This window comes from Homo sapiens, chromosome 10 (genome assembly GCF_000001405.40).
Source record: "Homo sapiens chromosome 10, GRCh38.p14 Primary Assembly".
NCBI lineage: Eukaryota > Metazoa > Chordata > Mammalia > Primates > Hominidae > Homo > Homo sapiens.
In genome coordinates, this window is record NC_000010.11 from 21,753,817 (window position 1) to 21,770,674 (window position 16,858).

Consider the following 16,858-nt stretch of genomic DNA (forward strand, 5'->3'; position numbering starts at 1 on the left):
AGAGGAAAGGGAGAAAGTGGTTGGGTTGGTTCTCATGAGCAAGACGGCAAGAACAGAAAAGCAAGCACGGGCTACCTGTGGCGGCTGGGCACGGCATGGGGAGGCCTCCTCAGTGGGCAGGGTGAGGTGGCTTGGGAGGACACGGGTCTGGGAGTGGGAGAGGAGAAGGGGCACGGTGGGGCTGTCACGTGGCTGGTGGATGTGCCACGTCCCCACATGCATTCAGCACATTCCCTCTCGAGGATCCTCGCTCTCCTGCTGTGACCCGGGGTGGCAGCTGTCATCTGTCTGTGTACAGAGCTGTGCTCTGAGAGCTGGGAGCCCACACGAGTCCTGCCCAGCCTCTGACCCTGGCCTCCCCCGCAAAACCCCCCACCCCATCCTACTTCAACTGACTCCTTGGCCTCCAGAGCCCCCCGAGGGGATACCATGGGCAGCAGGCCTTTCCTGGCAGGCAGAGACAGGCAGCAGAAAACCACACTAGCACCTCACTCTCTCAAGGCAGCTGGAGAAGATGAGGACAGGGTGAGTTGAGGGGTTCCAGCAACTCAATTTCCTAAAGCACCTCTGGACCCCCCACGGGCCTCTCCCGCAGAAAGCCCAGGAAACTTATAACTGGGCTCTGGGGTGTGTGTGAGAGGAACCCAATTCAGGGTGCTGTAAGTGAAAAGGATGACTTAATGGCAGAACGCTCACAGAGTGTCCTGTGTTGTGTAACAGGCCTGAGGCTGGGCTCAGAGACCAGAGGGGCCCCCAGCCTGGCATATGGCCAGGACGATCCTCCCCTCTCCCTGTCCCTCTCCAGGAACCGGCTTCCTTCTCAGATGTGTCACTCACATGTAGCCACTGTGACTGCACAGCAGTCACCTCATGGCCCCCCAGCTGGAGGACAGAGTTCTGGGGAAGACTCGGATTCCCGTGACTAGCCTGGCTTTGGGTTGTTACAGGAAGACAGTGAGCACCACTGGAGCCAGATGACTGTGCCTGTCCCCTGTCCCCACCTGGCCAGACAGGCACCACTTCCCTGTCCCTGCTGGCTGAGGCTGATGGAAGCTGCTGCTCCCTGACTCAGGCAGTTCTGTGCAAACCAGACCGTGGAGACGGTGGCTGGTACAGGCTGAGCATCCCTAACCCCAAATCCAAGATCCGAAATGCTCTCAAGATCCAAATTTTTGGAGTGCCAACGTGACGCCACCAGTGGAAAATTTCACACCTGACGCCTCTGCTTTCCAATGGTTCAGCAAATAAACTTTGTTTCTTGCACAAAATTATTAAAAATATTGCATAAAATTACCTTCAGGTTGTGTGCATACAGTATATGTCAAACATAATGGACGTCTGTAATCCCAGCACTTTGGGAGGCCAAGGCGGGAGGATCACTTGAGATCAGGAGTTCGAGACCAGCCTGGGTAACATGACAAAACCCCATCTCTACTAAAAATACAAAAATTAGCTGGGTGTGGTGGCACGTGCCTGTAATTCCAGCTACTCAGGAGACCGAGGCAGGAGAATCGCTTGAACCTGGGAGGCGGAGGTTGCAGTCTACCGAGATCGTACCACTGCACTCCAGCCTGGATGACAGAGCGAGACTCTGTCTCCAAAAACAAACAAACAAACAACAAAGAACGTGGTGTTTAGATTTGGGTCCCATCCCTGAGCCAACTTATTATGTATATGTAAATATTCCAAAATCAGAAAAAAAATATGCGAAATCTGAAACTTGTCTCAAAAATTTTGGAAGAGGGCTTGCAATGTGCTGTTTTTTCACTTTTCCGCTGCTCTTTTTGGGATGAGGGAGTTGGGTATGAGGTGTAAGTTCCCTACGTCTGCTCGGCCTGAGACCTGAGGCAGCCTCTGTCACCTCCTGTCAGGGAAAGGGCTGGGGACTTACCTGGTTCCACGTCCTCTGTATAGAAAGAAGCTTGCACTGCAGAGTGGGGATCTCTGCCACCCAAACTTTCCTCCAGGAAACTGTACCCTCACTTTACTCCTTAGGGAATATGACGTCTTTAAGATATTTTATCAAATCACGTCCCTTAACTGTGTTCTGGTTATCTTCATGATTTTCAAGTTTAGGCAAGCTGTGTTCATCACACTATTTCCACGCCCTGAGCAAATGACAGAAGATTTAAAAGGAGCGCTCAGCTGACAGTGACAGTTCAAACATAGCATGAAAGACTTCGACAGAAAGTAATAGTATAAAATAGTGATTTTTAACTTAGGTATGAAAAAACGGTCCCAATTTCATCATTTCCTGAAAACGGTCCTGCATGTTCTCTGGAAATTCTATCAGGTGGGAACACATTTCTATCAAGCAGCTCAAACTTAGAGTGTATTACCTTATGTCCTCCTTCACCTAGACTGTTTTTTTTCCCTAGATATATTTAACTAATTAAGATAATCTCACATTGTTCTTAGCCAGCCAGCTGGATACCAACCTGGTTTTCTTCCTCCCCAAGCAATTGATCTTGCTATTCAACCCCCAATAAAGACACGAACTGCTGTGTTCTTTGGTCGTGGTTTTAGAGAAACATTAAATTTGAATTCTTACACATTAGTTTGTTCACATGTTCCTTCAAAACCACATATTTTTGCCTGATCATTAGAAAGCACTATTTGTTTATTCCCTAAGAAAGTACACTTTGAAGTGATGAGAAATAAAATAATCTGCAACATACCCAAATCCTTTTTCCCCCAGCACAGTATTTGTTTAAACAGTATAGCACAACACTCATCTTTTATTTATTTATTATTTTTTTTTACTAAGGCACATGACGTAGAAATATTGAGGTACAAAATGCAAATTTCTGCATAAGATTTTTAAGATATTCATTTTGGAAAATGAAGGTGAACATCATCTCCCAGAATATTCAGCTTTTAGCTTGTTTTTTCTTTTGGACCAGTTCAACCAGCAACTTGTACCTAGCGATACAGTCTTCCTGTAGGAAGAAAAAAAGAGAGGTGAGAACAGTCACTTGCACAAGTCAGTGTGGTCATCATGTGGCCGGTCTGCTGGCTTCTGCTCATGAAGAGCCTCACGTCCAGTCCCTCTGCCCAGAGTTCCCGGGATGTCCTGGAGTCCAGTCGCTCACAAGGCAGACCGGTCTGGGCAGTGCGAGAAGGGCTCCTGCAAGCCCAGCCCAAAGGGAAGGTGCTTGGCGTGGAGTGAGGGGCTGGGGCGGCCGTTTGTGAGGCGTACTAGCATCATAATCGGGTCTTTCAGCCTGCTAACTCTTATTTTCATGTTAACACTTCACTCTTTTATCACAACATGCTACTTTAAAGAAATCAAAAACCCTGGGGCCAGGTAGCCTATTAGTCTTCTTCCGTGGGTCTGGCTTTCCCTAGGCGCTGCTAAGACCTTTCCCGTGGGGAGCCAGCCCCCAGGACACTGGCAGAACTTGTGCTGGAATACTCATTCCTGCTCCTCCTGGCCCCACCTCCATCCCACCCTACAGGCTGCAGAGCCGCCCACTTCAGACCTCAGCTGGCCACAGCTGTCACACCCTGGGCTGGAGCTCAGGACCAAAGCAGAGGTGGGGTGATGGTGGGGAGAGGCCTCATTATTCTCACATTGATCACAGGAACTTTCCAGAATCTATTCTGTTTCTGTTCCAAAAATAATGACCCTGTGGTTCTGTAGCTTTTGCTGACTAAGGGTCCAGTGCAAAGTGACTTTATCAGCTGCCTGGGACAGAGAAAGGATGTTTACTCTCCTAGGATTTTAGCTTAGTGGTGTTATGAGAGTCTCTTCTCAGGGTTTTTTTTCTGCATCCCCAAAGATTACTTGCCTAAGGTCTTTAAAGATATCAGTCTTTCCTTAGTAGCTATGCTGTCCCTAACAACATACTGCCAAAACCAGATGTGGCCAGACCCAGCACTTAACCCCAGAAGGACAGTGTGCTCGGAGCTCTGAGCTGAGCCGTGCACGGCAGCCAGGCCCAGGCTCCGGGACAGCAGGAAGCTCAGCCCTGCCTCGCTCTCAAGTCAAGGCTTGAGGGGAACACCCGCAGGCTGAAGAAGCCCTGCTCATTGCTGGTTGAAAACCGGAAGGTTTCCAGCCCCCCAGGTATGAGTTTCTGGGTGTTCTATCCTTAGGAATCCAAGCTCCAGCCCCTTCGTTTATAAGCCAGTGTGGACTCATCACACATGAAGACGTCTGCCTGTGTCCTGACAGATGCTAGAGAAATTCGGGTAGAATAGTTACTTCTGCAAACCAGTCGGAGAGGCTGGGAGAATCTGCGCTTCTCAAATATATCAACAGCTAACCGTTTATTTTTCTCCCCAGGAACTCTCAACTTTAATCATTTTAAAGTAGGTGGAGAAAACTACACCTGTACACTCAGGGACATGCATGGCCATGAGCTGGATTTTCCAACATAGAATTTCAATTAAAAAAAATAAGAATGTAAATGAGCATGAGTGTGCCCAGAGGCGACTGAGGGAGGCACAGACAGCGGAAGAGATCGGGGCTTTTGATTCTCACTGTTCCTGGTTCCTCGACTAACAATCTAGCTACAGGGAAAGAAGCCTCAAGAGACACTGTGTTAGGATCACACCCTGGGGCTCTCTGCAGCGCCTCATGGCCAGATCACAGGAAAGAGGCCGCCCAAGCCCGGTGGGTGGGCTCTCCACAGGGCACTCCCGCCCCCTCCTCCCATCTGAGGACCATCTCAGAAATATCTGAGCAGGCACCAAGAGCTACCAGCAGGGAGAAAGGCCAACTACAAACGGCCACGGCCGTGGAAAGTAAGCCGAACCCTAGCTGTCGCCTGGCACTGACCACATACGGAGATGGCCTCAGGGCCTCTGGACAGCCACCAGGTGTACCTGCTGAGTCCAAAGTTATTCACATGGCAGAATCGAAGATGATCACGGTAATACCATCTATACCAGCTATCCCTTTGGTCAAAGATTTGCTACACAGCCAATGGGCCTTGTGATTTATGAACCCTCAGCCTGGTTCAAAGGAGCTTTCCATCCTGACCCTTCCCAGCTGCTGCATTTCACGGTGAGGCAGCGCCGGCTGAGCCTCCCATGTGCCCTTAAAACCTAGCCGGAGTGGGCGAGTTCTCAAAAAGGCAGGCAGGTGCTGTGGGTGAAGTTTCTATAAGCAGCTGCCCTGTGGGATGATGAAACTTAGAATCTTGAGCTCATCTACACACATGAACCACCTGAATGCACAGATTCACACGCTCTAGGGAGAAATATACTGGAAGATAAATGGGAAAGAAGAAATCACGGGGCAGGTGTCAGTAGATAGGAATGAGGGAAGAAGCTGCAGGCAGACAAGCTGTGGCTCCTCTGGTGGGATTCTAACACCTGTGCAGAGGCCTCTTTCCCCATCACTCACCTTGCTCTTGGACGGGACACATCTGGCTATTTTGTCCCAGCGGTCAGAGGATCCCCTTGGGTACTGCTGCAACGCCAGTTCCAGAAGTTTCTGTTGATTTTGAGTCCACGGCTCCTCTGCAGACCGAGCTCTCTCTTTTCTCAGGCTCTCCTCGTCGCTGGACTCGTTTTGTTCTGCTATGTCAAAGTCCTTCTGCCGCTTGGCTCTGGACTTCTCCTCTGGCTCCGGCTTCGCTGTAGCCTCCAGCAGCCTGGCTGGCTTCCGCCTCCGAGGCCGGGCATCAGTGGCCCCGGTCTCCTGCTCACCGGAGTCTCCCTCCTGCTCCTCCTCCGCTGCCACCCCCTCTGCGTCCTCTCGCTGGGTGATCATGTCATCGGGCAAGGTGGTGGCCGTTTTGATGGGCCTGGAATTCTGAACTGTCGATTTGAGTTCGGAGAGTCTAACCATTCCTAGGAAAGAGGGTGTGCCACACAGAGGTGAAGGGCAAGGTGAATTAAGGAGACGGTGAGAACAGCAGCTGCCGGGCACAGAGCAGGCAGCGCACTAGGCATTTTGCATGCATGGTTTAATTTCATTTCCACACTACTCTATTCTAGAAAGATAGGGATCATTACCCTAATGTTACAGATGAGAAAAAGAAGACTCAGAAAGCACTAGAGTGGGATTTGAACCCACTTCTGTCTGATTCCAAGCCTTTGTCCCTTTCTCTACTCTGAGGAATAATGGGTATATAAAGAATCAGATTGTGAACAAGAATGCAAACATCTCTTTGAGAGGGAATAACCTGCTACTCAGTATAAGAAAGGATTCACTGGCTCCACTGGAAAGACAAAAATCAACTGGTCAAACCTTAAAACTGTGCTGCCTCTGGAAGGCAAGTGTATGAGTAAATTATACACTTACAAATAGTAGCTACAGTAAGAATTTTTAAACATGGAAAAGAAACATTTTATTAAAAAGTTTATTAGCTGGGCCTGGTGGTATACACCTGTATTCCTAGCTACTAGGGAGGCTAAGGAGGGAGGACTGCTTGAGCCCAGGAGTTTGAGGCTGCAGTCAGCTATGATCACGCCACTGTGCTTCAGCCCGGGCAACAGAATGAGATCTTGTCTCTAAAAGTAATAATAATTAATAACAAAAGCTTTAAACCTTTTAATAGGACAGAATAGATGACAGAGCACTGATATCCTCAATACAGTAGCAGTTACAACTCATTAAGATAAAAGGACAAAGAACACAGCTCACAAAGGAAGAACTACAGTAGCTGATGAGTATCAGAGAACTAAAACAAAGAATCACTACTTTTCAATTATTAAATTGGCAAAGATTAGAAAGTATGACAATACCCAGTGCTGGCAAAATGCAGGGAAATAGGTACATTTGGACACGGGGCGTGGGAGCAGAAACTGGCCCAGCCCAGAGCTGTCCAATGAAACATGCTGTGATACAATTATATAAACCACTTGGTGTAGTACTGAGGAATTAAGTTTTTAACTTTATTTAATTCTAATTAATTTAAACTTTAATATAAATAGCTACATGTGGCAAGTGGCTACCATATTAGACAGCACAGGTCTAGCCTTTTTAAAGAACAATTTGTCAAATGGAGGTGAACCTTAAGAATGTATTTACTTGTGACTCTGTAATTTTACTTAGAGGAGGTTCTCCTATGGAAATAATTACAGATGTATATACAAATTTAGCTACAAAGAGGCAGTATTTTAGGCCAGGTGCAGTGTGGCTCAAGCGTGTAATTCCAGGACTTTGGGAGGCCAAGGCAAGGTGGATCACTTGAGGCCAGGAGTTCCAGACCAGCTTGGGCAACATGGCAAAACCCCGTCTCTACTAAAAATACAAAAAATTAGCTGGGCATGGTGGCGCATGCCTGTCATCCCAACTACTTGGGTGGCTGAGGCATGAAAATCGCTTGAACCCAGGAGGCAGAGGCTGCAGTGAGCCAAGACTGTGCCACTGCACTCCAGCCTGGGAAACAAAGTCTTGCTCTGTCTCAAAACAACAACAAAAAAGGGGGCAATATTTTATTTCCTTTTCTACAGTAATGTTTCCTCTTTATAGTAGGCTTTTATTTAATAAAAAACAAAATCCCAGCTGTACACGGTGGCTCACGCCTGTAATCCCAACACTTTGGGAGGCCAAGGCAGGGGGGATCCCCTGAGGTCAGGAGTTCGAGACCAGCCTGGCCAACATGGTGAAACCCTGTCTCTACAAAAATGCAAAAATTAGCCGGGTGTGGTGGCACGTGCCTGTAATTCCAGCTACTCAGGAGGCCGAGGCAGGAGAATCGCTTGAACCTGGGAGGCAGAGGTTGCAGTGTACTGAGATCGTACCACAGCCTGGGCGACAGAGTGAGACTCCGTCTAAAAAAAAAAAAAAAAAATCTAGATATAATTTTTAAAAATATAAAAACTACAAAAAGGAATACAATGAAAAGTGGCTTAGTCTGCATTCCTGGTCTGCTCTGTAAGAGGCAAAAATGAGTTGGAGTGTGAGTGTGTGAACGTCTAGAAACAGTGTCACACACCCTATGTAGCTGCATTAGCCTTCTCCTTTCTTACGTTAATGGCAACAAACTCCCTGGAGGTTATTCTGTATTAGCTCACTAAAGTTCCAGGTCCTAGTCTTTTGTTACTACTAACAAGTGGCATTTCATAATCATTATCTCCTCCATATTTTTTATTATGAACCCCATCAATAAAACATCTTTGAAAACACAATTTTTTTTTATTTTTATTTTTTGAGATGGAGTCTCACTCTTTCACCAGGCTGGAGTGAAGGGGCGCGATTTTGCCTCCCTGCAACCTCTGCCTCCTGGGTTCAAGTGATTCTCCTGCCTCAGCCTCTCGAGTAGCTGGGACTACAGGCGTCAGCCTCTCGAGGAGCTGGGACTACAGGCACGCGCCACCATGCCCAGCTAATTTTTGTATTTATAGAACAGACGAGGTTTCACCATGTTGGCCAGGATGGTCTCAATCTCTTGACCTCGTGATCTGAGTGCCTCAGCCTCCCAAAGTGTTGGGATTACAGGCATGAGCCACCACGCCCAGCCGAAAATGCAATTCTAATATATGTATATTTACTTATTCAATTATATCCACCACAATCTAAAAACATCATTAAGTGACATGAAACATTCTAATGAAAATATTAATATTAAAAACAATGAGATTGAAAAATTGCTTAATACTGGATAAAATACTCAATTAAAGGTCTGGCTCCAAATTTGCTTTATTTTGGCACCTAACTTTGAATGGCCATCCTAGTTGGAAAAGATGACCCAAAAGGATACATCTATCCACATGTAGCGTCCTGCTGGCCAAGTTTACCATGCTCTGGTATTCATTGTGCAATACAAATTATGAAAACATTTTCATAAAAATCTTCCCCAAGCCAATCATTTGTTCTTGCAAACTAAATAGAAAGTGTTACTTATTTATCTGAGATGGGGCTCTTGCTCTGTCACCCAGGCTGGAGTGCAGTGGTGTGATCATAGCTCACTGCAGCCTCCAACTTCTGGGCTCAAGTGATCCTCCCACCTCAGCCTCCTGGGCAGCTGGGACTACAGGCCTACACCATCACGCCTGGCTGTATTTTTAACAAATGAGTTCACTTTGTTTGAAAGATTTACAGGTTAAAATTCTATTTTCAACATTTTTAAATCCGTAAAAATAAGAGTTTTTATAGGTCACATTGTTTTGGCCATAGAATAACACATAACAAAGAAAATACTTTCAAACATCGACTTTGTTTTTTTTGTTTTTTGAGCCAGTCTCGCTCTGTTGCCCAGGCTGGAAGTTCAGTGGCATGATCTCGGCTCACTGCAACCTCTGCCTCCCGGGTTCAAGTGATTCTCCTGCCTCAGCTTCCCGAGTAGCTGAGACCACAGGCATGGGCCACAACACCCAACTAATTTTTGTAGTTTTAGTAGAGACCGGGTTTCACTATGTTGGCCAGGCTGGTCTCGAACTCCTGACCTCAGGTGATCCGCCCATCTTGGCCTCCCAAAGTGTCAGGATTACAGGCGTGAGGCACCGTGCCCAGCCAAGCATCTACTTTCAAACGTCCTTTCTACAGCATAAATATCTTTCAAAACACTTTCACATTCATTGTTAAAAATCCATCTTTATTTTGTAAAAACATTTTAATATAATAAAATGATTAAAGATATTAGTCTTCAGCGAGTATGCTGCTATTAACATAAGAAAGAGGGAGGCAAATACAGACAGTCTGTGCAAGACTAGTTATACTTCTAGACGTGTACGCCCTCACACTCCAATTCATTATTCCCTCTGTGGAAGGGGGCCAGGAACCCAGACTCAGACACTTTTCATTGCATTCCCTTTTGTACTGTTTTAATTTTTTAAGTGTGTGCAGGTTGTTTTTTTTTTTTTTTTTTAGACCCTACGCCAAGAATTTATTTATTTATTTGGTAAAAGAAAAGTATAAAATTGAGGATCTTTAAATTCAAAAACTTTTAAAAGTACTTTGTCAAAATACTAGGAAGCCTCTGTGTAATAGGAAATATTCCCATGGTTGCCTTCCACCTTATAAAAAGATGTCACTGAAACTCTGGGGTTATCTATACATTCACTCAACTGGGTATCTTGTTGCAATATCTTGAGAGTGAAAGAACATGGGATGATGCCAAGTGACGAGGCCACCATCAGCCTGTGAGTGCTGTGGAAATCCCATTTTTCCCTTGGGAAACGTTGGTGCCCTATGTACGTAACACATAAGCTCTGCTAATGGGCACAGTGAGGGTGCTGGCATAAGTCGGAATATCAAAGATGAGAAAGTTTAATTCCTCTCTCACTGCCTTAAGATAAAAACAAAGATCAACAGAAATTCAAATACGGTCTTCTTATATTCCAAAGAATCATCCTGTCTACCTCACTTTGGAGACCACAACTTCAGAACAATAAAAAAAAAATGGAAACAAACAAAATGTCCAACAATAGAAACTTGTTAAATAAACTATGGGGCAGACATCTATACTATGGACTACTATGGAGCCATTAAGAAGATGATACAGACATATGAGTGTACGGAGTGAAAAAATGTAAAACAGTATTGCGGTACAGTCCCATTCTTGTAAAAATATTATATGCACATATGTGCATCAGAAAAGTCTGAAGAAATATCTCTCTCAAAATAACAACAATTGGTAGGTTACATGTGATTGTTATTTTCTTCCTTTTGTTTATCTGTATTTTTTTGAGTTTCTATTAGCGAACATTTCTTTCCATGCTCACTAAAGCAACTCTCTTAAGAAACAGCCAAATACCTCCATCTGGGTGTGTTCTTATCTGTAGAAGGTCATTTTCCCCTGTGCTAGCCTATTAAGCCAGCTGTGTTTTCTAAACCATCCATTTCAAACACTTTGAAAGGTATCCAAAATCTTAGGAAACAATTTTAGAATTTCTAATAATACTTCAGAAGCACAGCTTTATGGCTTAAATGGATCACACTGCTTACGGATTCTTTGTTAATTTGTGAACATAATCAGAAGAAATACTTTTATTTCAAAATTCTTTGGCTTCTTAAAGGCTATTAAAAAACAAAATAAAACACATAATTTAATGAATATATTTGTGACAAAGACCTTATGGTGCTTTTAGAGAGTCACAGGATGTTTGGATGTGGCCAAATATCACATCGGATTTGCCTCTTTTCCTCTCTGTCCTGATGCTGGATCTGCTCTCTGCTCAAAGCTGCTTCTGGTGCCTTCTCTCAGCCACAGGTGTTGCCTCAGAGATGCACTTAAATATTCAACTCCACATTTCCTGTTTTCTTCATACTTCTGACCCCCCTCCACCAAGCTCCAGGAAGATCTACGTCAGTTCCTTACTCTGAGCTGCGCTGCCTTTTCAATGGTATGATTTTGGAGAATGTCTTGAAGTAGGCTTCTGTCATATAACATCCCATTGCCCCGTCTCTGCCTCCATGCCCACAGAAATAACTTCATTGGCAGAAAAAGAAATCCAGAAATTTCCTCTTGCTAAAGCCTGGAGAACTCCAAGTTGAATTCTTTTAAAAAAATTTTTTTTTACGTTTATTTTTCAGAAATGGGGGGTCTCACTATGTTGCCCAGGCTGGTTTTGAACTCCTGGGCTCAAGTGATCCTCCCGCCTCGGCCTCTAGAGTAGTTGAAACTATAGCTGTGCCACCACGCCCGGCTGGGGTGGCTTTTTGAGATCTCTGGGTTTGCTAATTGTTGGCTTGTTCATCTGCATTACTCTCCCTGGGACCTGTATTTGAGTTAGGTTGCAAAGTTTCTGAAGCATGTTCTTATTTCCTGGTTCTAAGCAAAGAATATGGAGACTCTAACAAAATTCCAGTTAATCTTGGAGGAAATTGATTTTAAGAAACATAAATGGGGCTGAGCACGGTGGCTCACGCCTGTAATCCCAGCAATTTGGGAGGCCGAGGTGAGAGGATCAAGAGGTCAGGAGTTCAAGACCAGCCTAGCCAAGATGGTGAAACCAGGTCTCTACTAAAAATACAAAAATCTGTCAGGTGCAGTGGCGGGCGCCCGTAATCCCAGCTACTCGGGGGCTGAGGCAGGAGAATCACTTGAACCTGGGAGGCAGAGGTTGCAGTGAGCCGAGATTGCGCCACTGCACGCTAGCCTGGGCAACAGAGCAAGACTCCGTCTCAAAAAAAAGGAAACATAAATGCCTGGGAAAGCTGTTAGCCATTTATCCCAAAGGGCAGCTCTGCAAGTGCGGCAGTGACAGGGGTGGACAGTGCAGGGAAACAGTGTGCACATAGCATTTGCGTGGTGTGCAGATGGGCTTTCTCCTGTGTTCCCCGTCCCCACAAATTAAACTATAGAAGACGATCTGTATACTTATTTAACCTTATTAATTAAATACATCTTCTCGGCACCAGTATGTGCAGGGCTGGACTGGCTTGCTGGTGCCCGTATTTCAACCCTTTTTGGAGATATGACCAGATTTAGAGTTCATTAGGCAAAACTTCTAGACCCTTGTATTTAAAGAAGTTATTATAAAAAGGGATTAATTTAGAAGAAACCACTTTAGATTAATGAGATAGAGGAAGTATGAACTCACCTGGGGAGCAGGTCACTGAATCCTTCAGTTGCTTGGCTTTGGTTGTCACCTGTTTCAAAACATAAAAGCAAAAATCTTACTTTCCATGTACCTACTATATGCTGAGTGAAACGATTCCATGTAAGCTCCATGTGAATGAACACAGTTCATTGGATCTTAGGCCTGAAAGACCCTCAGTCGTCTGTCGCATCCATTAATGTAATTAACAAGAAAACTGAAGCCCAGAGAGATTAAATGGATAGCTCCAAAACACCCATCCACTCAGCAGCAGCTTCAGGACAAGAACTCACATCCCTAGACTCCTTCTAGTTCAATGACAGTTCCGTTATACGAGGCTGCCTCTTTTCATTTTTATTTTTTTTTAATACTTTAAGTTCTAGGGTACATATGCACAACGGGGGCTGCCTCTTAAAAGATACTACTTTCAAGGCCGGGCATGGTGGCTCATGCCTGCAATCCTAGCACTTTGGGAGGCCAAGGTGGGTGGATCACTTGAGGTCAGGAGTTCAAGACCAGCCTGTCCAACATGGGGAAACCCCGTTTCTATGAAAATACAAAAAGTAGCTGGGCAAGGCGGTGGTTGCCTGTAATCCCAGCTACTCGGGAGGCTGAGGCAGGAGAATCGCTTGAACCCAGGAGGCGGAGGTTGCAGTAAGCTGACATTGCACCACTGCACTCCAGCCTGGGCATCGGAGTGAGACCCTGCCTAAAAAAAAAAAAAAAAAAAAAAGATACTACTTTCATTATGCAAACAGGTCATTTTTTAAACCTAGAATTTCCAGAAATGGAATATCTTTCTTCACTGGAGAATATTCTACCACTGAGTATTGCAATCAGTGGGGAAAATGACATTTATGCTAATAGTGTTATAAGATAAAAGTCCTTCCTTTCTGCAACCTGGAAGGGAACCCTAAGAGCATCTGAGATTGACATTGGAGGAAGAATCTGTTGATGGAGTGGGGCAGCTGCACCCAAGAACCATGATACCTTTACACATATGAGTGTGGATCCACAGAAAGAATTTGGTCTGGTGGTAATTTTTTTTCTTTATATAAATGGTATCATATTTCACGTCTTATTCTATAGCTTGCTCTTTCTTCATTTAACAATGTCTTTGAGATCTACATACAGAATTGCCTTATTTTTCTTTTATCTTCTCTTTCTCTGTCAACTTATTTTGTTTGTTTGTTTGTTTTTAAAGATATGTTGCTATGTTGCAGTCTTGCTATGTGGCCCAGAATGGCCTGTAACTCCTAGGCTCAAATGATCCTCCCACCTCAGCCTCCTGAGTAGCTGGGACTACAGGCATGAGCCACTGCACTTGGCTTTCTTTTTTAAAATTGAGATAAAATTTACAGAGTGTAATGTGCAGACTTTAAATGTGCAATTTGATGAGTTTTGACCAAAAATCTCTGCCTATGTAACCAACATCACAATCAAATTACAGAATATTGACCAGGCACAGTCGCTCATGCCTGTAATCCCAGCACTCTGGGAGGCCGAGGCAGCCAGATCACTTGAGGTCAGGAGTTCGAGACCAGCCTGGTCAATATAGCAAAACCTGTCTCTACTAAAAATACAAAAATTATCCAGGCACGGTGGCACACGCCTGTAATCCCAGCTATTTGGGAGGCTGAGGCAGCAGAACTGCTTGAACCCAGGAGGTAGAGGTTGCAGTGAGCTGAGATTACGTCACTGCACTCCAGCCTGGGCAACAGAGCCAGACTCCATCTTAAAAAAAAAAAAATTACAGAACATTCCTATTACTCCAGAAAGTTCCCTTGTGCCCTTCATGCAATCTCTATCCTGCCACAGACAACCACTGTTCAGACTTCTATTGTATATTTTTAAGAAATATGGGGTTAAAGTTATTAATTTTTTTCAAATGAATAGTTAATTGCCCTAATGCACTTATCTAACAAGCCATCCTTTCCATTTATTTAAAATATGAATTTCATTAAAGTTATGTTTGGCTGTAAACATGTGCTATTATATTTTTCTATATTTCTCTATCCCATTAATCCATGTATATTCTCGAACCAACACTTCATGGCTTTAATGAAATTTGAAAGTAAAATGTCAGAAAGCATGATCATTAAGAGCCGAGAGTCAGGCAGATCTGCTCTTCAGTCTTGGTTCCACCTCTCAGCTGGGTAACAGACAGCAATTTTCCATCCTTCTCTGTTTCATATATTACCCTCTGTAATGTGTGGATACCACTACCATTTGCCTCTTACGGATGTTTTCAGTTTGAAACAAACCCTTAGCATGATACCTGGCAGACAGTAAAGGCTCAGTAAATATTACCTGTTATAATTGAAATAGATCATTTGTTTTCCATTCATACAAAGAGCAGAATTAGAACATTTAAAGCTGCTTGGAAACACTTTTCAATTTTGTTCCCTACCTTCCACTCTCTCTACAGATGACCTTGCTTCCTATTTAATGTAAACAAACTGAAGTTATCCAACATGAGCTTCCTTGACTTCTGAATTTCCCAGCTCAAAAATTTGATTGCCCCACCATATATCCATTCCTTCTTTTATCCTAATTCAAAGAAATAAATGCATTCCTTCCCCTTGAGGCTAAATCTGCCCCTTGAATCCTCACAGAACTATGCTCCATCAATTACTTGCTTTCATCTTCAACTTCCCCTGTCCATGAGATGCATCCCATAAATCTTCAAACTTAGCTCAAGTAGTCTACTCTAAATCTTCCCTTGACCTTATCTTTTCTATTCCACTTGGCATTCATGAGAATATGTCCTAGTTTTCCTTCTTTCTCTGAATGTTCCTCCACTGGCCTCTCCTATATACTCCTGCCTCTTGTTCCCTAATAGAAGTGTTCCTCAACATTCTACCCTTGCCATTCATGTTCTTTCCACTTTCTACTCTGGTATCTCATCCCAGCTATTCGATAATACTTTAGAAAAGAAATGATTAACCTAGGTCTCTGGCCCTGACTTCTACCTTGGAATGCCAGTCTCATAGAAACTGACCACGCAACAATGGATCCTCAGATCTGAAAAGGACTTCACCTACGTAACATTAAGCTTACTATGCAATAGGCACTGTTCTAAATAAATTGTGTGTGTGCACATATTCCTCACAGTAGCAATATGAGGTAGGCATAGAATGGTTATCCTGATTTTACAGAATCTGAGGCCCAGGGAGAATAAATAATATATCCAAGTTAAACAGTTAGTGAGAAGCTAAAACAAGCAGGGATCTAAAATTTTTGCTCTCTATCACTATAACATAACCACCTTTTAAATCCAAATCTTTCATTTTATAGAAGAAGAAACAAGCCAAGTGCTCTTTCTGCTGTACTACATGGCTTCACTTTCTAACTGCCATTAAATCTCTCAGAGGTCTCCTAGTTCCTAAAACTAACCAAACCAAAAACTAAACTCATCAGTTTTTCTTTTCTTTTCTTTTCTTTTGAGACAGAGTTTCTGTTCTTGTTGTCCAGGCTGGAGTGCAATGGAGCGATTCCAGCTCACTACAACCTCTGCCTCCCAGGTTCAAGCAATTCTCCTGCCTCAGCCTCCTGAGTAGCTGGGATTACAGGCATGAGCCACCACGCCAGGCTAATTTTGTATTTTTAGTAGAGATGGGGTTTCTCCATGTTGGTCAGGCTGGTCTTGAACTCCCAGCCTCAGGTGATCCACCCACCTCGGCCTCCCAAAGTGCTGGGATTACAGGCGTGAGCCACTGCGCCCGGCCTAAACTCATCAGTTTTTCCAATAAAACAACTTCTCTGCTTTTCCTCCATTGCTTAATAGTTTTATCATCCAAGTCACTTAGGCTCAAAATCTAACGAGTCCATTTTTGGATTTTTTCTCTCCTTCCCCAACGAGTTGCTTCACAGTTCAATTCCATTTGTTCCCTTCTCTCTCAGACCTCCACCACCTGCACTAGTCCTTCATTCTCACTTGACCAAACTAATATAACACTTTCTAACAGGTCCCTAACTTAATAGTTAATAATTAATGACTGATGCTGAGCATTTTTTCATGTGTTTATTGGACATCTGTGTATCTTCCTTGGAGGAATATCTATTCATATCCTGTATCCATTGCTTATGTGGGTCATTTAACTTTTTATTATTGAGTTGTAAGATTATTTTTTTCTTCTTTTTTTTTTTTTTTTTTTTGAGATGGAGTCTAGCTCTGTCGCCCAGGCTGGAGTGCAGTGGCACGATCTCGACTCACTGCAGCCTCCGCCTCCAAGGTTCAAGTGATTCTCCCACCTCAGCCTCACAAGTAACTGGGACTACAGGCATGTGCCAAGATGCCCGGCTAATTTTTTGTATTTTTAGTAGAGATGGGGTTTCACCGTGTTGGTCAGGCTGGTCTCAAACTCCTGACCTGAGGTGATCCGCCCGCCTCGGCCTCCCAAAGTGCTGGGAGTAC

The 16,858-nt window shown here is 44.3% G+C and overlaps 1 protein-coding gene across 1 annotated transcript in view, besides 3 other annotated features; it reads right to left on the reverse strand.

Moving 5' to 3' along the window:
- Positions 90 to 749: an enhancer, noted in NCBI's record as "H3K27ac-H3K4me1 hESC enhancer chr10:22042835-22043494 (GRCh37/hg19 assembly coordinates)". NCBI's record gives its function as "activates a minimal SCP1, AML or CMV promoter by ChIP-STARR-seq in primed H9 embryonic stem cells {active_cell/tissue: H9 hESC(primed)}" and the evidence as "EXISTENCE:reporter gene assay evidence [ECO:0000049][PMID:30033119]".
- Positions 750 to 1,409: an enhancer, noted in NCBI's record as "H3K27ac-H3K4me1 hESC enhancer chr10:22043495-22044154 (GRCh37/hg19 assembly coordinates)". NCBI's record gives its function as "activates a minimal SCP1, AML or CMV promoter by ChIP-STARR-seq in primed H9 embryonic stem cells {active_cell/tissue: H9 hESC(primed)}" and the evidence as "EXISTENCE:reporter gene assay evidence [ECO:0000049][PMID:30033119]".
- Positions 2,658 to 3,534: an enhancer, noted in NCBI's record as "H3K27ac-H3K4me1 hESC enhancer chr10:22045403-22046279 (GRCh37/hg19 assembly coordinates)". NCBI's record gives its function as "activates a minimal SCP1, AML or CMV promoter by ChIP-STARR-seq in naive H9 embryonic stem cells {active_cell/tissue: H9 hESC(naive)}" and the evidence as "EXISTENCE:reporter gene assay evidence [ECO:0000049][PMID:30033119]".
- Positions 2,732 to 16,858, reverse strand: part of DNAJC1 (DnaJ heat shock protein family (Hsp40) member C1) — a 247,183-nt gene continuing 233,056 nt past the window's right edge. Inside the window, exons 10-12 of the mRNA NM_022365.4 lie at positions 12,445 to 12,493; positions 5,354 to 5,802; positions 2,732 to 2,939 (exon numbers count right to left, since the gene is read on the reverse strand). Coding sequence (NP_071760.2) covers positions 2,871 to 2,939; positions 5,354 to 5,802; positions 12,445 to 12,493 — 567 coding nt within the window. The 3' untranslated portion in view covers positions 2,732 to 2,870. The remainder of the gene's footprint in view (positions 2,940 to 5,353; positions 5,803 to 12,444; positions 12,494 to 16,858) is intronic.